Below are 24,598 nucleotides of genomic sequence, written 5' to 3' on the forward strand. Positions count from 1 at the left end.
CAAACAATCCTCCCACTTTGACCTCCCAAAGTGCTGGGATTACAGGCATGAGTCACCACGCCTTGCTGAAATCACATCTTCATAGTCTGGACCAGGCTATTCCCAGCACTGAAGCACCCTCAAAAAATTCCATTAAACATCCTCATGACATCCTTGCTCTCCAGCTGAATTCACTGCTTGATGTTAATCATGAACATCTGGTAGGTCCTACCGACCCATAGTAATCAGATGGGAGTTCTATGGGAGCTGGGTGGGAAGAAGGCTTGATTGTTGTGTTCCTTCTAATAAAGCAAACTCTATTACCTTCTACTCAGAAAAGCGTGAGTGCTGAGCTCATAAAGCAAGAAGGAGCAGCTTAGCTTCTGCTGGGGCCTGGTCAGATCCAGTCCAGTTCTAAGCATGCTTTGAGCAGACTTGGGGTGCAGAGTTAGGATCACCCTCAGACTTCGCTGTTCTGATTTTGTTGTTCTCTGTGCTGTGACATTGGCCCCGTTCACACCAATAATGAATAAATGGGAATTCAAATGCTCATCAGCCACCAGTTGCAAAGCCAAATAGAATTCTTCTCCATTCTTCTGCCTTCAGAGTTACCTACCCCATTTCCAGGTGTGTCGCTGTGGTTTTGAAGGCGGGTGTTCTGTTCCTGCAACTCCCTTCATGGCAGTGGTGCTGAAACTACTCTTGTTTCAGCCGACCAGGCACTGCAGTTGCGGCTTCTAGAATTTCGCCCAAGGGTACTGCACAGACATTCCTCAGTGTTGCAAGACATCACTGCTAACTTACAAGGAGGGCTTGGGAAATGGTCCCATGGAAGACTGTGATTCCAGGCATCTGACTGGGGAGTCTGCTGGCGAGCTAATGGCCAGCCCAGTTTTAAGTCTCTGCTTCATCTGTTCCTGACTTGGTCAACTTATGAATGGCCAAACCTTCTATCTAGGGGAGCTTCCCAGACCATCCACTTCAACCCACCCATTCCACAGGAAGCAGAGGTGCAGGGGCTTGGGTGGCTTGCTCAAGACTGTCCTGAGAACCACCGGCCATCTCTATGAGGATGGCATGCTTCCTGCCATGTCGCGCTGCTCCCACTCTCCATCCTTTCTCCGTCTGGTCCCTCTGTCAGTTCAGCTTTCCAGATATCCAGCAGGCAACACCTTTCTCAAGATCCTTTGTACTAAAGGTCATCAGCCTTCTCCAATGGTGGGAGCCTGTTCTGGTGCCCAGCCATTGGCTCTTCAGGGTTCGAACGCCAGGCCATATCCTTGACACTGTGAAATGCTCCAAATAGTGAAAGGAGAAGGTGAACTTCCACCAACTGCCCAAGACCAAGAAGAACACCTCTGACCACACAGAGCAATGGGGAGTGGGTGTACAGGCCTCGTGCCCCTGATGTGCCTGCCCCTCTCTCTCTGCCAGCAACAGGGGCGAGAATGATCCTGCAAGGAGGGGACTTGCCTGGGGGAGGTCAAAACTCTTACCCCCATCACTTTCTAATCTACCTCATCACCAAAGTATTCCCCATTCTATCCAAGGCTCTGGGCACATTTTTTGGGACCGGAGTTGGTACAGCTAGTGGGCTGAGTCAATCCCTGAGAAGAGACCAGGAAAGCCAGGCTCACTTCAGGACCCCGTTTGGGAACAGGTTTCTACTGGATGCTCAACAGAGGGTAGCCCTTGCCCTGGTGGGACTCAAAAACCTGTGATGGAGTGCATCGATGAACATGTCTTCAGCCTGCCCCCCAGGAACTCATCTGGACCTGTCTGTGACATTGTCTACGTCGTTATGTTTGGCCAAGGGACCAAATGTTCATGGCTCAGCCACTTCTGCATCTTTTCCCTGAACAAGTCCTGCAGCCCCCACAGGACTGTCGCTGCAATTCTTCCTCAGAGGGCCATCAGCGAAGGGTGCCTTGAGGACAGCCTGTGAATTCTGGGGACTCAACAGGGGCAGGAGATGGGAAGCCAGGACAGAAGATGCACTTCTTGCTCTGAACCCTCCCCAACTGTGCACCTGGTTGTCCCGGAGAACTTGGCAGGATTCACTGAGCATCTACATGCATTTTCTTATTGAGAAGGGCCTGGGGAGGTAGGTGCTAAGTTGTGTCCCCCCCACAAAATCCATATGCTGAAGCTCTAACCCCTAGGACCTCAGAATGTGGCTGTGTTTAGAGATAGGGCCTTTAAAGAGGTGATTAAGGTAAAACGAGGCCGTTAGGGTGGGCCCTAACCCTGTGTGACTGGGTCCTTCTAAGGAGTGGAAATTAGGACACAGGTACACACACAGGGGGATGACCACATGAGGACACAGCAAGAAGACAGGCGTCTACAATCCAAGGAGGGAGGCCTCAGGAGAGACTTCTCAGACCAGTAGCACCTTGATCTGCAGTGCTCTGTGACCGCAGCCTGAGCAGACGTACACCGTGCGGACAGAACTGTGCACAGCCACCGCCGAGTGATTCATCTTCAAAGCTTGCTGTGTGTTCTGTTACAGAAGGAGTGAGTACAGGTTCTTCCTTCTCTGCAGTGGCTCACTTGGAGAATTTCCGTCTTGTCTGAAGTCAACTCAAAAGTCAATGCGTTCTCCTAGGTAACACCCAAGCACACAGGAACCGGCCGTGGAAGCCCCCAGTGAAATTCCTGGACAGGCCTGGCAGCCTCCACGGTTCCCTTCCGCTTCCAGCTCCATCACTGACTGCATTCCGAAGATCAGACTAGAAATTGTTACACGCTTCACGTTTGGCTGTGACGAGCTCTGAGCAGTGACCTTCACAGCTCCCTTTCCCTGGTGCAGACCAGGAGGCAGCGCTGGCAGCATGCCCACTGCGCTGACCTTAGTGCAGTGCCACTGGCTGGGAAGTCTCTGGGCCAGAGTTCCTGAGGCTGGGGGGCTGGGGAAGGGCAACTCCCCAGAGAAAGGCTTGGAGAAAGGGCCTTTGGGCTCTGATCACCAGCCCTGGGGTCTCAGGTTCCAGAAATGGAACGGCCACATCTTATGACCGATGACACAGAGCCAGAAAGGCAGTCATCAGGGAACGTCCTGTTTTGTGTTTTCAATTCCCAGGGGTCATAGCCAGTTGGGGAACAAAGCAACACGTGTGGATATGGGTGCCCTACTGAATGAGAAGCACAGTGACAGGGCGTCTTGCAAAGGATGAGATCCTAGAACCTGGAGGGAGCAGGTGAGGCAGGAGAGCAAGGAGGTGCCACGGAAGGGGTCAGGCCAGGAAGGGAGGCTGTGACCGGGATGGGCCAGGGTGGAGCTGCATCAGGGGGCCAGCATATGGGAGCCCCGACACATCTCCAATAAGGGAACCTGAAGGAGGAAACAATGTCCAGAGCTCCCTGTAGGCTGAACACAGCACCTGGGGGAAGGCATGCTCCAGAAAGCCACAGGAGTGCCTAGAGATGGTCACCAACTGCCCCTGAGCCAGAGCTGGGCTCAACTGCAGGAATGTGTTTTGCAGAATGGGAGGTGCAGGCCCAGCCCTGCCTCACCCTCTCTCTGACCGAGAGCGTCAGCTCAGCCCCACCGCTAAGTCATGTGTCGGAAACACACTTGATGATGAGGGACCTAAGCATGAGGCAGGACAGAAGTGGAAAGAGTCAGCTGTGTGCAGCTCCCCAGATCCCAGCTTCCTGACTCTTTCCTCCCCAGCTCCTTCTTCCTGGCTTGTTCCCATCAGCGGGTAGCCAGGGTCAAGGTTCTCCCATTTACACAGCATGGTCCCTGGACCCTGCATCCTCTCCTGAAGCTGTCCCTCCTCTCCTTGTCTCATCTTCTCCAAGCTTCCCGAAGGCAGGCCACTTGCCCTCCTCACTCTCCCACCACCTGCTTTCCTCCCAAATCTGCCCCAGTGGAGAGCTGTCACTCAGGTCGTGCGGCATTCGGAGGACTGCTTCCGTGCTTCTCCTCCTGGCTCTGTGTGACAGTCGGGATTGGGATCTGCTCTGTCCTTCTTCACACCCCACCCTTAGCTGTTCCCCAGTTCTCTTCCTGCCATTTCTTGAGCTCTTTATGGCAGCCTTTTCCTGCCAGGTTTCTTATCCCCATATTGTAGATGAGGAGACCGAAACAGCAGTGAAGAGACGTGGATGTGGCCACAGCCATATCCTGACATTTGCATGCTCACCTAACTTGTATGGCATTGTACCCCAGTAGGCTGGGCCTCTAGAGATGCCCCAGACAGGACACAGGCTTAGCTGGTTATCTGTCAGTCTGCATATCAAGGACAACATCTCCCTCTTTCAACCCTGGCCCCCTCCCTGCCTCCCTCCCTCCTGGGGAAGCTAACATTTGGGGGATCTCCACCATCTGCTTTTCAAATTCCTATTTTGTATTTTTCCCACAATGAGTCCTTTTAGACAGCAATTCTTCCCCTTCCATCTGTCAAACTTCCCTCTGTCTTCCCACATTTTAAAAAAGTCCAGTCTCTTCTTGGAAATGTTCCCAGGAAAGGATAAGGCAGCTGTGTCCACCGCCTCTCTAAGCATAACCCACTGTCTCCCGTCCTCGCCTTCCCACAGGAGACATGGCAAGGGAGTGATGTGACAAAGGTACTTTCCTATTTGGGCAATGAAGAGGGAAGAAAACAAGCATCCTGATGACTTCTATGAGCCAGGCTCAAAGCCGTTAAATAACCCACCCAAGGCCACACAGCTAGTAAGCAAGAGAGCTCATACTGAAACCCGAGACTATTTCACTCCCCAGAATCTGGATCTGCATGTGCTGGAGCTGGCCAATTCTTAAACTGTAGGCTGCCTGATGTCATGTTGCGGGCTTGAAATTGGCATGGTGGGAGTATTTACACCACAGCAATTGGCAAATGGTACAAACCAGAGCTCCACCAAATCCTGCTAAATGTTGGTTGTTAAACATTTACCAGCACACCACCGGTCAGGATCAGCCATCCTTCTTGAAAAGCTTGGTGGGTGTCTATGCAAATTAGAAGGGCCTGTCTCCAAATTCAGTGCCTACTCTACATTCAGTGCTGTACTCCTAGATGTGGTCTTCACATGCAGGGCACTACCTGGTTATCAGTCAGAATTAAATACCTTAGTGCTAATGAGAAAGCAACAAAAAAAGCAATCTTCTTTTAAAACTTTTGCTGAAAATATGTACACAGGAAATAATATGCTGGTGAAAAGTAATTGCGGTTTTGCCATTGTAATGGCAAATAATTTCAGGTCTAACAGGTTGCTTTGTGCACAGTCTTTCATAAGCACTGACATACTCATTTTCATTACATTTCTGTACTTGAAGAGGGTGTGATCCAGATGTGAGGTTTCCACAAGGAGTCACTTTAATGCATCTCTGACATCTCCAGATGGACCCTTAAGAAGGGTCAAAGAGGCTGGGCGTGGTGGCTCACGCTTGTAATCCCAGCACTTTGGGAGGCTGAGGCAGGTGGATCACAAGGTCAGGAGATTGAGACCATCCTATACTGGCCAACATGGTGAAACCATGTATTTAGTCTCCACTAAAATACAAAAACACAATTAGCTGAGTGTGGTGGCAAGTGCCCATAGTCCTAGCTACTCTGGAGGCTGAGACAGGGGAATCGTTTGAACCTGGGAGGTGGAGGTTGCAGTGAGCAGGGATCACACCACTGCACTCCAGCCTGGCAACAGAGCAAGACTCCATCTCAGAAAAAAAAAAGAAAAAGAAGAAGAAGAAGGGTCAAAGAGAAGAGACGGCAATCACATTTGTGGCCCTAGCCCTCAGGACTGACAAATATGTGGCCGAGGAGATCAGGAAAAACCCAAGACTGATCGAAGTGATCTGGTGTAAACATAAGAAAGGAGGATTTGGATATCTCAGGAAAGCCAAAATCTGAGCGATCACACCATCCTCTGGCTGGACAAAAAGCTCTTTAACGTAAGTGAGTGGGCCAAGGGAGAAAGAATATCAGGTCTTACCATGGTTTCTATGAAAGATCTCTTTTTTTTGCCTCTGACTTCATGCATATCATGTCATCTGCTAGTTTCTAGTAAGTTCAATAACAGTGATATCTTCCCTCTACTGAACAGCCACCTTGACCCAGACTCTATGCTAGGCACTGCACATAACTCAATTGTTATGTTAACTCAATTATTCTTCCTTACCATGCTATCAGCAGCAGCAGACTGATTTCAAGATGAAGACACTGAGGCTTACAGGCTAATTAAGTAACTTTTCCACATGAAGCAGTTAAAAAGTTGTAGAACTAGAATTTGAATATAGGCTTGTCTGAATCCAAAACTCAGATTATTTTCTGAACCACTGGGAAAGATCTCTCTCCATCCTCAACCACAAATTAAAGAATTATCATTGAGGCTTATACATCAGTTTCTTATTAATTTGGTTAACATATGTCAGCCCTCTGATCACCTCTGTGAGCATTGACAAAGTCAAATTTGTGGGTCTACACAGCCGAGGACCCACCCCGCGGAGGCCCTGCCTGAGTGTTCAAGCCACTGCAAAGCTGATGACACTTCTGTTCCATCTCTCTTGCCTGAATTGCCGGAATGGCCTCCTAACTGGTCTCTCTGCATCTGCCCTCCTCCCAACACTCTATCCACACTACAGCAGCCAACATGATTAAGCTACAATGTTTCCCTCCGCGTGGCTTCCAGTGCCTGGTGGACCATCAAGAGTCACTGATTTTCAACGCCTTTTGCGTGGGAGGATGTACACGCCCACGCTGCTGGATTGAGGTGTGGCTGAGACTTGCTCTGGCCAGGCACGTGAGCAGAAGGGATGTGTGGCCCTGCCGGGCAGAAGACTGTGCTCACCCATGCTCCAGGAAGAGGCTGCTCCACAGGGACCCTTGACTCACATGCAACGAGCATGAAGGAAATCGAAAATGCTCAAGGCCACTGGAACTGTGTAGGTATTGTAAACTGCAGCACGGCCAGCCTGTCCTCACTGATGTGCTAAGTCACCCCAGGTAAAAGCTACAGTCCTTAGAAGGGCCGGCAGGGCTGCCCTGCCATAAACATATATATATATATATGGAGTCACCCGTGGAACCAGCCTGCTTCCCCCTCCCAGGAATCTCTGCCTCCAATGGGTGAGCTGTTCTTAAATCTAATCTGTCAAGTCCCCTTTGCCCTCCCTGGGGTCCTCTCCTGCTGGCTCCTCAGACATGCTCCAGCCGCACTTGCTACTTCCTCTGCCTGGAATGCTCTTCTTCCAGTATCGCTATGTTGTTACACAAATGTCACCTTCTCACCAAGACCTTTATGCAACGATCAGCTTCTCAGCCAGGCCCTCCCCGACCACCACACTTAAAACTGCAACTCCCTGCCATGGTTTGAATGTGTCCCCCAAAAATTCATATGGTGGGAACTTAATCACCATTACAGCATTGTGTTAAGAGGTGGGGCCTTCAAGAGGTGGTTAGGCCATGAGGGCTCTGCCTCCTGAATGGATTGGTGCAGTTAACACAGAAGTGGGTTGTTTATCCAGGGAGTGGGTTCCTGACTTTTAAAAAGTAGTTTGGACTGGGCACGGTGGCTCACGCCTGTAATCCCAGAACTTTGGGAGGCCGAGGTGGGCAGATCACTTGAGGTCAGGAGTTTGAGACTAGCCTAGCCAACATGGCGAAACCGCATCTCTACTAAAAATACAAAAATTTAGCCGGGTGTGGTGGCACGCACCTGTAGTCCCAGCTACTTGGGAGGCTGAGGCAGGAGAATTGTTTGAACTGGGGAGGTGGAGGTTGCAGTGAGCTGAGATTGCGCCACTGCACTCCAGCCTGGATGACAGAGCAAGACTCTGTCTCAAAAAAAAAAAAAAATAGTTTGGCCTGAGCTCTGTCTCTCTCTCTCTCTTTCCCCGCTCTTGCTATGTTAAGACACAGCAAAGAGGCTCTCACCAGATGCAGCTTCTCAATCTTCAGCTTCTCAGCTTCCAAAACCATGAGCCAAATACGCTTCTATTCTTCATAAATTACCCAGTCTGTTGTATTATAGCAGCAGAAAATGGACTAAGATACCCCTCAAGACTGCCTCATGCCTTCTTGCTTTTTTTCCACCATAGCATTTTGCACCATCTTGATCAACTTTTCTCCTGCTTTTGGTTTTTTATTTCTACTATGTTCCATGGTGAATGCTAGCTCCCTAAGGGCAGAGCAGGGATTTGGTTTGGTACTTCTGGAATTACATGCAAAACTGTGTGGGTATTTTTCTCATGAATGAGTCCACAGCTATTCTTGGATTCTTAAGTAGGCAAACAAGGGAAGGGATCATAATCCCCATTGCTAGCCGCCATGATCTCCCACAATGCTCTCCAAACACGGGAAAGGGAGTTCCTTGGGAGCATTTATGCCTTTGTCATTTAGGAAGAAAACCTTGGGGTTAAACACAGGGAAGAAAAGGAATTCACATTTACTGAATGTTTCAGTGCGTCAGACATTATGTATGCCAGACTCTGTGCATATGTTATTTCATTGAATTTAATGGGACAATAATCCCATGAGAATGCCTGTCAGTGTCCCTATTTTTCAGAGGAAGGAATTGAGGCTCAGGGAGGTAAAAGAATTTGCCTAAGCTTACAGTATTAAGCAAGTCTTTTTATTCTGAGGCTTTCACATCTCGGGGGGCTGGGGGGACCTTTTTCAGTTTACAACACCCAGAATCACCCATTTAACTAACAGCAATGCAATGATTCTTAACCAGGGTGATTTTGGCCTCTAGGGGACATTTGTCGACATCTGGAGACATTTTTGATTGTCACAACTCGGGGTGCAGGTGCTGCTGGCATCTGGCAGGTAGAGGCCAGGGATACTGCTAAATACTGCAATGCTCTGGAAAGCCCCTCACAACAAAGAATGACTTGGCCCCAAATATAATCGCGCTGAGGTTGAAACTGTGATAGGGTATTTCCTCAATGTTCTAAATCAATTAAAAAATAGACAGGAACTTGGCTGTGCCTAATAACTGAAGATTTAGATCTTCCAAAGAATTCCCCCTGAGAAGTGGTGGGTATCCTAACGGGCCTGGAGGTACAGATGCAGGGACCTTCGGAAGGCCATGAGGACTGCATCTCTCCAGCTCTGATAAAGAGTGGATGACTGGTTCCTAAAGAACCTATAGTTCCTAAAGAAAGAGCCACCACCGCAATCTTCAGCACTGGTCCCAAATGCATTTCTTCTACAGCTGCAGGAAAGACGACATGTGAGAAACACCACTGTGGCTCTCCTGGACCCTGGGCTCTTCTGAGCAGCTGGCTGGGGGCTGGCGGCCACTCTGGGAATATGGTGGACAACAGGGAAGTACCAGACCTCCCCTCAAGGAGTTCCAAGGTCAAACACCAGGGTTTAAAGGGCCCAGGAGGAGGAACGCTAAATCCAGCCCCCTGCTTCACTTGTCTGTTCTTTTTAAGATTCTGTCAGGGATCTCAAAATACCAGCTTCACAGCCAGCTGCATAAAGGCAAACTTTAGAGATTCTAGAACAAATGTCAGCCACCCAGCTGGCATGGCACAAGGCTCAAGGGTGCCTGGATCCTGGCTGGCCTGGAGCAAACTGTGGAGATGGCCGTCTGCTTTCCCTGGAGAGTGCCAGGAAATCCATTCTCATTGAGGAGCAACAGCCCACCAGGCACAATGCCCTGTTGCTCCCAGAAGTGGCTGTGTTTTGACAGAGGCAGTGAGATGCTCTGGAAAGGACACAGGTTCCGTACAAACAGCTGGCTTGGGTCCAGCCATGTGGACCTGGGCAAATGCACTGACTCTCTCCAAGCCTCAGTTTACTGTTTGTGAGCCGTGGGTAAAAACATGGATTTTGAGTATATATACATATAGAGAGAGGGTGTGCGTGTGTGTGTGTGTGTGTGTGTGTGTGTGTGTGTGTGTATAGAGAGAGAGAGAGAGACAGAATATGTATATATATAGAGAGAGGGTGAGATTGTATATATATGTGTAGAGAGAGAGGGTGAGTATATATATATATATATATGTGTGTGTGTGTGTGTATATATATATATATAGACAGAGAGGGAGAATATGTATATAAATACAGAGAATGAGATTGTATAAAAATATGTATATATAGAGGGTAAGTATACATATATAGAGAGAGAATATGTATGTGTATATATATATATAGAGAGAGAGGGTGAGATTGTATATATATATGTAGAAAGAGAGGGGGTGAATATATATATATAGAGAGAATATCTATATATATATAGAGAGAGAGAGGAAGAGAGAGGGTGAGATTGCACATATATATGTAGACAGAGAGGGGGTGAGTATATATATATAGAATATATATATATCTATAAAGAGAAAAAGAGAGGGTGAGTATATATATACACATGTAGAGAGAGAGAGAGTGAGGGGTGTGTGTATATAGAGAGGGCAAGTGTGTATATATATATAAATAAAAAGAGAGGTGTGTATATATAGAGACAATGTATGTATATATACAGAGGGTGAGTATGTGTATATATAGAAAGGGAGGGTGTGTGTATACGTGTTTGTATATATAGAAGGTGTGTATATATATAGAGAGAATAGGTATATATAGAGAGGGAGGGTGAGACTGTATACATATATGTAGAGAGAGAGGTTGAGTTTACACATATATATGGAGAAAGAGAGAGAATATATATATATATAGAGAGAGAGAGCAAGAGAGGGTGAGTATATATACACACATATTTATGCAGAGAAAGGACGTGTATACATAGAGAGGGTAAGTATATATATCTGTGTGTGTGTATATATATAGAGAGAGAGCGCTAGAGAGAGGTGTATATATAGAGAGAGTATATGTATATATATAGAGGGTATGTGTATATATAGAGTGGGATGGTGTGTGTGTGTATATATACAGAGAGAGAGAGGGAGAGAGAGAGGGTGTGTGTGTATATATATACAGAGAGAAATGGTGTGTATATACATATATAAAGAGAGGGTGTATATATATATATATATATATATATATATATATATATGGAGAGAGAGAGAGAGAGGGTGATTATATATAGAGAGAAGGTGAGTATACATATATATATATAAAGAGAGTGAGCATATATATATGAGAGACGATAGGTGAGTGTATATATATATATATATATAGAGAGAGAGAGAGAGAGAGAGACAGGGTGTGTATGTGTGTGTATATACATAGAGAGAGTGAGTATATATAGAGAAAGAGAGAGGGTGTGTGTGTATGTATATATATGTGTGTGTGCATATATATATGTAGAGAGAGAGAAAGAGGGTGTGTGAGTATATATATGTAAAGAGAGAAAGAGGGTGTCTATATGTGTGTCTATATATATAGAGAGGGTGAGTGTATATATATATATATATATACACACATAGAGAGAATGAGTGTATATGCACATATATAGAGAGAGAGAGACGGTGAGTATATATAAAGAGGGTGTGTATGTGTGCATATATATAGAGAGAGAGGCGAGTATATATACATATATATATATAGAGAGAGAAAGAGATAGGGTGTGTGTATAGATAGAGAGAAAGAGGGTGTGTGTGTTTATATATAAAGAGAGGGCGAGTATATCTATATGTAGAGAGTGTATATATCTATAGAGGGCGAGTACATCTGTAGAGAGAAGATGAGTGTATATACACATACATATATATATATATACAGAGAGAGAGGAGAGAAAGGGTGTGTGTGCTTGTATATATATATAGTATATATCTATATAGAGAAGGTGAGTATATCTATATATAGAGAGAGAGTATATATATAGAGGGTGTGTATGTATGTCATCTTTTCTGTGTATGTATATGTGTGTGTGTGTGTATATAGTCTCTATATTTATACTCAATATATATTTGAAATTACATTGTTCATATACTTGTTCATTGCCTGCCTCCACTAAAATGTAAGCCCCAGGACAGAGATCCATCTGCCTTTTTCGCCTCTGTACCCCCAGAGTCTGGCCAGGGTCCCCAGCATCCTCTGTGAGGAGATTAGGCAGGTAGGGTTATTTCAATTTATAAGGTGAAAATGAGGCTCACAGAGGTTAACCGTTGCCTTGCCCCTTAGCCAGGTACTCAGCCGTGAGTGCCCTGGGAGACACAGCCTGCCAGGTGAAAGCACTTCACTCAGCCAAAGCCTTGATAAGGATGGAGGCCATATGCACCCCCCAGCCATCGCTGTTGGGTGCTTCCTTTCTGCCAAGAGCAGATGTCATCACTTCTGCCTCCTAACACCCCTCTGCGATAGAAGAGATCACCAGTGTTTACAAACACGATCACTGCAGCTCAGGGATGGGGAGGGACCTGCCCCGGTGCACTCAGCCGTCGATGCAGATGCGGACCAGGTGTGCAAAGCCAGGCCCCTTTGGCCCCCACTAGGGACTTCACGTGGTGTTCAAGGGAGGCACCTTTTCTCCCAGGTGACAGGAAGGCTGCAGAGGTTCCCGATAAGCAGAGAAGGACCCAAAGTCCTTGGTGACTGCTAGTGAGGGTGACGGGTGTGGAAAAGGATGGGGTCCCAGCAGCAGCACGAGGCAGGAGGACCTGCGACGGGGGCCCCATGATTATGTTGCAGATAACAGGTTTCAGAAGCCAGCAGCAGGGCTTGGCAGCCTGGGGTGCAAGAGGCTGGGAATGCAGTCAGGACTCTCCTTTGGTCAGGTCCGGGCCCAAATCTTGCCTCGGGATGGCCCTTGGGCAAATTCCAGACCCCTGGAACTCCTCTTGGCGTTCTGACCAACCTAACACCTCAGACTGGTTCAGGATTGAATGGGTCTATGGGTGTAAGCTTCCCAGATGAAAAAGGTGAGGCTCAGAGAGTGCCCCCCACCCAGCCCACTGCCGTAATCACTGTAACCGCCGCAACCATGCTTCCCGGTCTTAGCAAGGCAGGGGGTGGGACAGCTCACTGGGAGTCACTCTGGTGTCCCTTTCGGAGCCTCTTCCTGAGTATATACAGTATATACTGGGGATGAGTAGTGCATCCCCAGTAGTGAGAGGGACATAAACAAGAAGATAGTATTCGTGAAACTCCTGGGCTTTCCTTGCTGAGATTCGTAAAGAATGGGAAAGATCTTTTGGAGATCATTTAGCTGTAGTCTTTCCTGCAGCTGGAAGCTCCCACGAGGTCTCAGGTTCTTGATGGCCTCTGACGTGATGTCTAATAATTAAGGACCCCTGCTGCCTACAACTTACTGTGACTCCCCCAATGCTCCTCCTCCTTAGGCTACAGCTGAAATGGGCTTCAGGAGGCTCTTCTGTCTCCTTGCATGTTTCTGGGACCCAGAGAAGATGAGATTGGAGAGATCTGAGCAGTCTCCCTTGCAGCATCCTAGCTCAGCTGACTTGTGAGGGGGGCTCCTTAACCCAATTCCCCATGTGGGAAAGTGGGGGAAATCTCACAGCTCCCTGGTAAGACCCTGGGGCAGGCCAGGCTGTGGAAGCAGAGGGCTCCCTGCTGGCCTCCTGGGTAGCCCCTGGCGTCCAGTACAGAGGTCCCCCTCCTCTCTCCTCCCTGGCTGCCCTCAGACACTGGGAGCCCTCCCTTTGCTCAAGGCCTTTGTCTGGGCCACTCCTCTTTCTCAGGACACTGTCCTCCAGGTGTCTGTCAGCCTGGCCGCCTCCCCTCCTGCACATCTCGGCCCCACCCTCACCTCAGTGGCGCCTTCGTGGTCTCCCTGTTGAAGACCAATAGAGAGCTGCATAATAGCTATTCGCTGCACATGGCTCTGCCTCCCTTCCCTTCTCTCTTCCCAGCTTTCTTGCTCTCTGTGCACTCCATTTTCTAAAAGAGAAAATATTTGCTTTGTTTATTGCCCATCTCTCTACACAAAGCAGAAGCTCCACAAGGGCAGGGTTTTCTGTTTTTTCATTGCTGTATCTGTCCCCAGCTCCTGGAACCGTGCTAGGCACATAGTAGGTGATTAGGGAAGTTATTGAATAAGTGAATCAACGTTCCACCTGCAGTAAATGCTCAGGCTTCTAAACTTGCCGTTGTCAGAGCCCCCATGAAGCTACCTCGCTCACTTTCACTGGCTGAGGAAGCCTGCGCTCATGTCTCTCTGTTCCAGCATTTCATGTGCAAACATTTCCAAGTCCCGAGTTGCTACTTCATCTGCATTCACTGTCATGAAACCCATTGAGTTTGCCTTTCTCCTGTTTCTTTTTTTTTTTCTGCTGCTTTAAGAACCCTCCCTCTCGCCATTGGTCGGTAGGGCGACCTCAGTGCAGGGCCTCAAAATGGCATGCAGGTTCAAGCCAGAGTGGTGCAGTGCGAGCGTTCAAGTCTGTTAAAAATTCTTGCAAACTCCATTTAACAGGGTAATGGTTTAATGTATTGCTTAACAAGAAGCCGTTTGGAGCTAGAGCAGGACTTGCTATAGACGCCAAGCAGATTCCAAATGGCATCTCCTCAAAATGAGAGGAGAAACACAGAGCTAGAGAAAGGCTATCCCTGGGGAAGTAGGAGAGACCAAGCCCATGTTCTAGCGGGAGGAGGCAGGTAGGTCTGTGCTGCGTCTCTCTCCATCTCAGCTGTGGATGAAGATGCGAGCCAGCCAGAGAACGGGGTCAAGAGGGAGTTGGTCCTCTTTCCCTTGATTTAATTGCTCGAGGCCAAGGCACTGCAATGCCATGAGCGCCCGGAAGTGGAGCTCTTGTGCTGGCAGATGTATGTGCCGCTGGGGCTGAAAGCCCAGAGTGTTCCTTGGAGACACCTGACCCCAAGATCAGCACTGTGAGCCATGGAGAAGGAGGGGCTCTGCTCAATTTGGGGTCCACCAGGCAGCGTGGAGCACTGGCAAGGGGCCAGGACATAGGAACTCTGGACCAGGTGAGTCATTATGCAATGTCGTTTGACGTAGTGGATTGGTTGTTTTGGGAACAAATTTTACTTCTCATTCCTAAGGAAATGGAATGGAAAATTCATGGCTCTGGTGCTGAGCTCAGATCCAATACCTTCACCTCACACAACAAAATCACCACCCCTTTCTGGGTGGCAGCTTCACCCTATTTTAACCAAGATCCCAAAGTTTGAAGTAATCACCTTTTGTGTCCTTGATTTAGAGACGGTGACAGCTAATGTCCCATATGAACAGGACTGGAAAGAGACAAGAAAGTATTTTCACATAAGAAAAAAGAAATCTCCCACAAAGACAGATGTGGATGTCTTTCACTGGGGAGAGGAAAGAGAGGAGGCCATTCAACTGATCAACCGATCCAACTGATCCAACCGCTAAGAGTCGGGCCCCTCGGCCCTCCCTCCACCTGGGGACAGAAGCAGGCTTTACCCATAGAAGGGATACTTGGCCAGGGAGACAGAGCAGTGGAGCTGATGCTTCATGTGGGATGCTTTTCATCCTCACCAGGGAAAAAAAGAAGTAAGTGCTTGCCGGGTTGCAGCCAAAAAGAAAGGCACAGACATTTCTGCTTAATGGGAGCAGAGAAAACCGAATTGTCCTTCTGAGTTGTTTGGACGCAGTCAGTCTGAGTTCTCGCTGGAAAAATAGGTCAATGTGAAGCTCAAACGCAGCCCTCTAGAAGGGCTTCTGATATAAAAGGAGCCTGCAAGTGAAGTTGAGAAAGAAGAAAACTAGCAAGGAAGTTAGCACTGAAGAGACACAAAGATCCCTAATTGTATCTCAGAGCTCCAGGTTTGTTTAACGGAAAATCAGTGTTTATATGCAGGGTTTATAATTTTCTCCTGCTTCCCTGTCTTAGCAAAGATGCTTTTTTTTTTTTTGGCACAAATTTGGTGCTGGTATCTGTGGTTATGGATGTCTAGGTGGGGAGCAGGGAACCCTCTGGGAGAGGCATGGCATTTGGACCATGTCTTCTAGGTGCTGTGTGACCTGCTCAACTGCAGGCCCAGGGTGGCAAGAAGTATAGGAGGCTTTTCTAATTACCCTCCTTGCTGTGTGACTTGGGCAACTTCCTTCCCTCTCTGTGCTTCGGCTTCCCTGTGTTAAATGGGGAGAGGGGCTGGATGGCCTGATGGGCAGCATCTCCCCCACCTCCACTCCCAGGAGATCCTGCCAAGTGCTGCATGGTGGAGTGGGACCGTGCGACTTTATGCAACATGTCGAGGTCTGCTTTTGATCATCTCTGAGAGAATTCCTTGCTCTAGGAAGAAGTATATTCCCAATGTGTGTCCCTTGAGCAGGAATGGTCTACATGGCACCAGCTGGCCATGTTCTGGGGTCAGAGGTCACTCTAGGTTCCAGCCCCAGCACAAGTCTGATCCCACCTGGGGATGCCCAGTCTTGCCCCCTGCTGAGTTAGAGTCTGAGGGGCACACAATGGCTCAGAGGATATCTGAGGGCACCTGGGGTTTCCTCTGAGGGTTCCTGGGGTGCCCTGATTTTTCAGGGCCAGAGAGATCTAAGGAGACCAGAGAAACATGCACCATATTGGAAATGTAGGGCACTGAGTTTTCATCGTGAACCTCTCACTAACTGAGTCCGTCACCTTGGACTAGTCCCTTGATCTCTCTGGGCTTCAACTTCCTCATCTGTAAAAGAAAAGGGTTGAACTACACGTTTTCTCAAATGCTTGTTTCTAGCACAAAGATTCTGTGCTTTTATGTGTGGGGAGACAGGTAAACAGGCAGCCTTAGAAGATGCTAGAATCTTGTTATCTATCAAGAATCTCAGGGTCTTCCAAGGTTTTGGGGCCAAAATGATAATAGTATCATCCCACATCCATCTCCTCCAGAGCCACCCATCCTGCCCTAAAGTCTTTCTCTGGATAAGCTTTTTTGACCTCTGGGTCAGGATAGAAATGATCTCCAAGGAAAGGCTAGGCAAAGGGCGGTGAGCCCATATGTGTGTTTCTCACTATCAGGGTCCTGGGGAGCTGGAGGGTCCTTGTCCTAGACCCATCCCCTTGCCTCCTGGCCAGGCCAAGCTTAGCTTCCTAGTAAGACAGTGAGGCTTCCCCCTGAGTGCTTGGAAGAGGCTCACCTAAGAGGCTCTGGAAGACTCAGGACATTTGCAAAAAGCCAAGTTCTGGGCAGAGACTTTGGGGACAAGAGGCAGAAACATCGCTTTCTGACCATGTCAGTGTGATGGCATCTGGGGCATGCACACATGTGTGTACTGGACTTGACAGTCCACATCCATGCCCAGCTTGGCCATGGCACAAGCCACCCTCCACTCCATCCCGTCAGCAGTGGCTGGTTTCTGCAGAATCCGCACAGATTTATCTGTCTCCTCCAGACTCAGCCACAGCCGTCCTTGCTTATGGGCACAGGTTTTAGAGAAGGACTCTCCAGGTAGAGATCCCAGCTCTACCACTTCCAAGCTTGAGGCGTTGTGCATGGCACCTATGTTTGTGCAGAACCATCGGAGAATCCCCAAAGGAGGAAGGAGGACAGAGCCATCACTCTTCATCCATCCCCCAATCCCTGCTTCCCCAAAGATCTTCCTCCCAACACACCCAGTGAGAAACCACCACCTCTCTTTCTATTACCACCCCCAGTAGCCCTATTGCATCCTGTTGGCTCATGCTCCAGAACAGACCTCAAATCTGTCCATTGCATCCTTCCCCAAAGACTCTCCATCCCATAACCTCACACCTGGCCCACCACAGCCTCCAACAGGTGCTCCTAGCTCAGCCCTTGCTTCCCTCCCTGTGTGAAAGAAAAGGGACCTTCTTCAAAAGCAAGCCTGGCGGTGTGCTTTTCCTCTGCAGCCCCTCCCACTGCCCTTGGAATAAATCCAAGCTCCTGGGGTCCCCTATGCTTTTCCCAATTGGGGCCCTGCCTTTCTCTCCATCCTCTCTCACCCCAACTGCCAAGCTCCAGTCATGCTGGGTCCTTTCACTTTTTGGAACAAGTCAGGCTTTCCTTCCCTCAGGGCCTTTGTGCAAGCTACTCCCATTGCCCAGAAGGCTGTCTCTTTTCTTCCCAAGTTGGTTCCTGCTCATCATTTGTACTCAGCTTAACTGGCAGCTCTCTGGAGGGGCTTTTCCTGACCCCCTGCCTAAAGTGGGCTTTCTCCAACCCCAACCAGTTGTCTGCTTCAATACTCTAACCATCACGCGTTGTCTAATTGTTTTTGTGCTGTGTCCCCAGACAGAATGGGAAATTCATGACAGCATGGATTATGCCTGTTATGCTCCCCATTGTTCCTCCACACATAGCATGGCTCCTGGGTAACACATCTTTGTTGAGTGGCAGAGAGTATCATGTACCCAGAATATGCCAGGTGATGCACTGTGGAGGTGCATGTGGAGCTCATTAGACCTTTGCAACAACCCAAAAAGTACTTGTTATTCCTAATTTACAGATGAGGAAACTTAGGAAAGTAACTTGCCTGGTGCCATAAGGTCAATACATGGCAGAGCTGGAATCTGCATGCAGCCCTGTCTGACTTTTCCTACTGCACTGGACTGCTTTTCCAACCCTTTCACAACCCAGAACAGGAGCGGAGCCTTAGCAGACACAAGACTCACCACCGGCATAAATGTGACATGTCAGAATTATGTGCTCCCGTCATTTATTTGTTCTTCTGTTTACTTAAACTTTCAAGACATCAGGCTTAAGGAAGACCCTGCAGAAATGTCCAAATGACTCCAGCATAATAATTGTATGATATATTACTATTATTTCCCTTGAGTCTGTATTTATAGGGAAATTGGATTATAAGTGTGTCTTGCAGGCTGAATATTGTTCTCTTAGCCCAGTGATTAGAGAGAAACAGAGGGTGGAGAGATGGCAAGGGAGGGAGAGACTGGCATTGGCAAATCCATGCAAAACTCACCTATTAAAGTGGTAGTCATAGTGATCTTTCCAAGCATCTACTAGCCCTAATGGTATACAGTGGACAAGAGTCATTGTAAAGCCCACCAAAGCAAGGTCGGTGAGCCACAGGTCTCACCAGTAAAGCCTGAAGGCGAATTCAGAAGGTCCATCTACAATAAAAGAACCACTACAACCACCAAGAAAACAGCCAGATATCTTACAAGGCACTTCACATTTGTCATGATGTTTCATGCTCATAACAACTCTCTATGATAGGTACTAGCATTATCCCCATTTTAGAAATGAGAAAAATGAGGAACAGACATGCTCAGTAACTTGCCTAATGTCAAACAACTGTCAAGTAACAGGTGGGAGTCACCCCAGCTTTCTACGCTGCGACCCTCCAGGCACCCATGTGACTGGGAGAGGCCATGCCACCAACAGGTCTGTTCCAAGTCCACACATTTTCTCTGCCCTCTTCCAATTTCTGATGACTAAACTGATTTTCTTTAAGGCTTGTACATTTCCTGCAGCTTAAAAAGATTGGAATGGCATCTACTGGCATAACAAAATTGTCTCGTGATGAGGACACGACTCTAGAAGTTAAGTAAGAGAGAAATGCCAAGCCCCTTACAGGCAGCCCGTGCTCAGTGATGGCTAGTGTCCTTCCTTCCCGTAAACCCAGCTGATGCTATAGCCTCATTCTTGGCTTAGAGATCCACAATCCAATGACAAGGATGGCCACTGGCCTTTGTTTAGTCCAACAGGTCCCAAATATATTTAACCACAAAAGGCTGTATTGAGAAACACCCATTCCACATCCCAAACAAACCTGGGGAAATGCTCACCAGACCTCCCAGTTTCTAGCACAAAAACAGGGGATTGCAGGGAGGAGGACACAGGAGGGGCTTCCCTGGGGTGAAGGCCCAAGAGCAGCATGACACTGGGTCACTCCCAGCTCCTTTTCCAAGGGGTCTGCTCTTGGCAGCATGCCCAAGTGGCCCCTGTCCTTGCACAGACCCTGGCCCCAGTGGGCTCCCACATGAGAGGACATTTAGGAAGCAACATCCATTGCCCCTTGGGAATCCCCACTGGCTTTTCTCTCCAGAGATTTGGTGCCCAGCCCTTTCTGTTTATAATCTGAGAAACTATCATAGAAAGGACAGGCATAACAAGGAGGCTGGGACACAGATGATCCAGAGGGCCAGAAAGGGAGAGAAATCTCCCTAGGACCTGGCCCATGCCAGCCCATAAACTCCTGAAGGATAGGCGTCTTTGCAAACCCATCCCCAGCAGGTCTGGCCCATGGCGGGTGGTACCATGAGGATGGGGAGGTGACCGTCAGAGCCCTATAAAAGGATGACTCCACCTGGCCCTGGAAATGATAAACACAGCCCCTTATGTGCCCGTGGAGTTTGAAAGTTTACAAAGTGCTCTCTTGTGCATTATATCATTGCATCCCCACTGAAAATTAGGTATTATTCTTCTTTCTTCCAGTATACCAAAGAGAAAACGGGATTGTGAAAAGATGAAGGTCCAAAATCACAAGAGGGTATAAGTGGTGACCAGGTCCTTGGATTTCAAATGCCCCATCAGGAGCCCATCTGTCTACCACCCTGCTACCTGCCCTATCTGTTTGGGGTGTCAAGATCTGGCCAAAGGTTGGAAGAGGAAAAGATGAGAGGAGGCATAACTTGGCAGCCCTGGTGGTACAGAGTGGGGAAGATTTGAAATTGAAACAGCAAAAGGCAGTTTAAATAAACAGAGTCTGCTATGGTTTGAAGGTGTCCCCTCCAAAGTTCAGATGTTGCCAGTGTGATAGGATTACGAGGTGGGACCTTTGAGAGGTGATCAGGCCATAAGGACTCCTCTCTAGCGAATGGGATTGAGGGCCTTACAAAAGAGGCTTCATACAGCATGCAGCTAGCTTGTCCTTCTGCCCTCTGCCATGTAAGAACACAGTGTTCTTCCCTTCCAGGGGATGCAGCCCTCATTAGGCAGCTGAACCTGCAGGCACCTTGATCTTGGACTTCCCAGCCTCCAGAACTGGGAGAAAATAAATCTCTGCTCTTTATAAATTATTCACTCTCAGGCATTTTGTTATAGTAGCACAAATGGGCTAAGCTGAAGTCTCAGACAGCAGCTGAGTTCATTTTGAGAAAAAGAAGGACTCAGATGGGAGAGAAAGGTGTCCCTCTCCAGTGCCAGCAAATCTGCCCATGAGAGCACTGTTGCCCTGGGCTGTGGGGCAGTAGCCCTGGGATCTGAGGGCAGGTTGGATATGGAGGCCTCACCAGGGAACCGGACATTGCCCTGCCAGTCGGCAGCACATCCTGGCACCAGGAGCTGCTACCCAGGCTCAGTGCTCACTTCCACAGAGCTCCTTTATGGGTAGGTTTCTAGAGCAAGAATGCGCATTTCAAAGACATCCCTATGATGCTGGTCTTGCTCCAGAATCAATCATCATGTGAGTCTCCTGGCACTGAGAACAAATGATGTTGTTCAAACTGCTGCATGTTGTCCATGCTCACACCATGTGTTTTCTCAGCGATCCTGTGAGGCAGGGACTCCCATGGCCGCAGCTGTGGGCAGCCAATCACACCAGTTCGTTGCCAAGCATACAGCCTGGGTCCTCAGGCATCCTGAAGATGGAGCATCACCAAGGTTTCCCTGTGTTCCCAAGCTCTTCTCAGTGCCCAGGAGAGAGTATGTGTGCATGTGGGTGTGTCCAAGAAAGAAGGGAGGGATCAGATGAGTGGTCAGCCCTGCCATCCTCCTCGAGGCCTCCTGCTTAGCTTCTGCATGTCCCAGCTGGAGCCGGACATCAAGTTGGCTCCTTCCAGCTCTCCTCTCTAGGCCACGGTTGCTCATCCTGTAGGCACCAGCTGGGCTGTCACTCCAAGAAGCTGGAGCCCCTGGGCCACCTGGGGCCTCTTCCTGACAGTGAGGACTGCAGATGCCCAAGGGCAGATGTTGGCTGGTGTCACCCCACTGGCAGCACCTGCTGAAGATCCCCATACCCCTCCTGCTTCTGTGGGTGCCCAGAAAACAGAGGTTGTGGCTGCCTTGAGCATGCAGCTTATGCTTCCTGAAGCCTTGTCAAAGGGCGGAACTGGTCCCTCAGCTCAGTGTGGGTCTCAGGCCTGGCTTTCCCTGTGTCCATTCCAAGGGTCACACGGCCCCTTTTCCTTGCTTCTGTGATGGACCAGCAGGACTGCAGCCAGCATTTTGTGGGATGGACAGATACCCTGGGGCCCCTTTTTCTACCAGACAGCCTCCATTGAGGGCTGTTCTGGTTCAGTAGATGGGACATGAGGCTTCACCTGAGCCGAGTTTGTATAGGACAGGCGAGCCTGTCAGCAGCACATCTGGGTTCATAACCAGGTCCCCAGGCTTTGAATGCCACCAGCAAGCTACTAGCCTGAACAGCTCAGTCTTCCACTGGCTTTTGAAGATTAAATCCCCTTTTTGCCTAAGTACCTAGGGGGATTGGAGCCTACAGAGGGCCAGCTTGGAAAAAGTAAGGAGGCACATCTGTTTAGAGAAAGGCCTGGGGCAGCGTGGCTGTTCTTGCCAGACCACATTGGTGAGGAGGTCCGTGTGGGTGTCCATGAACGTGGTGACACGGAGGGCCTCCTGGGGCACCAAGAGGACCTGCGGGGTCTGGAGGTGAGAATACAAGAGACCAGGAGGTACTGCTGGCCAGGGAGAGCTGGGGTATGGACGGCAGACCCCTCCTCATGGCTGCCTGGCTACCCAGATTACACACGCTCACTGAGCGCTCTGCAGTCAGGAACTTCTGGGCTGAGTCTCTTCAGCAACTTCTTGCCTTGAATACTCCAGTTGATGATAAACTCCGTACCTCCCAAGACAGTTCATGCATGGCTCCATGGACTGTCTCTCACTTGTTGAATGGATAAGCATCTCCCTGCAACTTCTACACTTTGGGATGATCCTTCTTGCCCATGACATCCCTTCAAATGTCACCCCATGTGTTGTTGCTTCCAGCCCCTCCTCCTCCTGGGCCCTCTCCCCTGCTGGAACTTGAACAGAGCTACTTAAGCTGCTTTACAAATGGGGCTTACACATGAGCTTGGTTTGAAGCAAGAGCACCACAGTTTAAAGGGTCTGAAACCATTAGTGCTGCCCAATATGACGGCCCCTTGTGGTCCCACGCTATCTCTGGTCTGTGGCTTCCCCTCCCATAGATGTGCAAATGCCTGGCTCAGGTCAGCACCCAAGGACAGGGGCCACTGCCCCTGATGGGGAGACCCAGAGCCCTCTACCCGGCTGGCTCTGCTCTGCTCACATGGACGAAGTGGCCTGGAGGTGCCAAGCCAGCCCACATACATTCAGAACATGCCTGTGCAGCTCTTGAGTGTGGTGTGGGCCCCGTCAGCACTGCACTGGGGGCCGGGCGTCCTGGGGACTCAGGGCAGGATGGGCAATGCCCACAGAGCGTGCCAGGCACGAAGTGTGTGGGAGGCGGCCGTGGTCCCCAGGTGGAGGGCAGGCCGGGGTGGCGGGGCGCGGCCGGCGGGCACTCACAGGGCAGGGTCTCGGCGCTGTTCTTCTGGAGCATGATGTAGAGCTGTAGCACCAGTTGGGGCGCGCTCTCCAGGAAGGTCTCCAGGAGGCGCAGCATGTTGACGTCTGCATATTCATACATCATAGCCCAGTAGAAGCGTCGCTGGTGTTCCTTCCGCCGCTGGCTCTGAATCCCCAGGTACATGGTGCGGATATACCTGCCCAGAGAGATGGGGAGAACACAGAGAGCATGGGTGGGTGCAGGGGCTCCAGAGGACCCTTGCCATCCCCCTAAAACCAAGAGACTCAGCATCCCCCCAACTCCCTATGCTCTGAAGTTCCCAGAGGCTTGGACGGGGCTCTGGGGGGCTCCCGGCAAAAGGACATGATGCTGAGGCATGGGGGAGGGGCGGGGCAGGTCAGGAAAGGATTTGACCCCTCGTGGACCCCTAGGCAGGTCTTCCTCCTCCTGGTCTCCCATTTGCTCATCTGGAAGATGAGACTGTGGGGCCAGATGCCCTGCCAGGGCCTGCAGGTAGGCATCTCAGGTGAGCTCCGGGACAGGGGTGGGCTTTCAGGTTCAGGACCCCGGGGGGAAACAATCCAGCAAGGTTATCACCTCTGTTGTTCTGGAGGAGGAAAGGAAGGGAAGCGGGTGAACATTTCTGAAGCTCCTACTACGTGCCATTCGCTGGCTGGCCATGCCCAGGTGGTAAGTAGGAGGGTATGGTTCTCACATGATACAGACAGGAAACAGCGTGGGCTCAGAAAGGTCACCCCCACTGCACAGGCTCCTGTCGCCGGATAGTGGAACAAGTAGGGATCACATCCAGGCCACTGGACACCCTCCCTGGACATCAGGGGGACCCAGGGCCTGCCATGGAGTCTCCGTCCCAGCAGGGCCCAGGACACAGGAGCAGATCCGCTGCCCGCCCTCTCAGGACCACTCCCGGGCTCTGTGTGGGAGGGCTGAGGGGCCAAGGAAGCAGGTAGGGGGAAGAGCAAGGTTCACAGGTCAAGCAGGCCTGACTCATCACTTGCTAAGTGGGGGATCTTGAACTAGTTATTCCAGCTCTGTGTCCTTGTCACTCATCTTTCATATGGGGACAGAATGAGAGCATCGCAGGGTGCATGGGAAGATTAGTGAGATGATATGCACAGTCGGCATCTCCCCAGGTCATATAATAACCCCAGCCTCAATTTCACCGGAACTCTCTGGAACTGTGTCTCCAAGGCAAGAGAAGGACTTAAGGCACCATCCAAACTCAGCCAACAGGCTCCAAGTCTGGGCCAGGGTAGAGGTTGTGGACAGGGCTCACCCAGAAGCAAGGGCCACAGTGCACAGCTCTGTGGGCCCAGTCAGGATCAAAAACAGGAACCGTAAACTGGGT

General features: G+C 49.6%; 1 protein-coding gene across 2 annotated transcripts in view; it reads right to left on the reverse strand.

Annotated features, from left to right (window-relative positions):
• The window catches only part of XKR6 (XK related 6), a 305,789-nt gene that overhangs the window by 5,361 nt on the left and 275,830 nt on the right, over positions 1-24,598 (reverse strand). For both annotated transcript variants that reach the window (NM_173683.4, XM_024447129.2), the window contains exon 2: positions 23,229-23,425. In NM_173683.4, coding sequence (NP_775954.2) covers positions 23,229-23,425 — 197 coding nt within the window. The remainder of the gene's footprint in view (positions 1-23,228; positions 23,426-24,598) is intronic.

Source organism: Homo sapiens, chromosome 8 (assembly GCF_000001405.40).
Source record: "Homo sapiens chromosome 8, GRCh38.p14 Primary Assembly".
Taxonomy (NCBI): domain Eukaryota; kingdom Metazoa; phylum Chordata; class Mammalia; order Primates; family Hominidae; genus Homo; species Homo sapiens.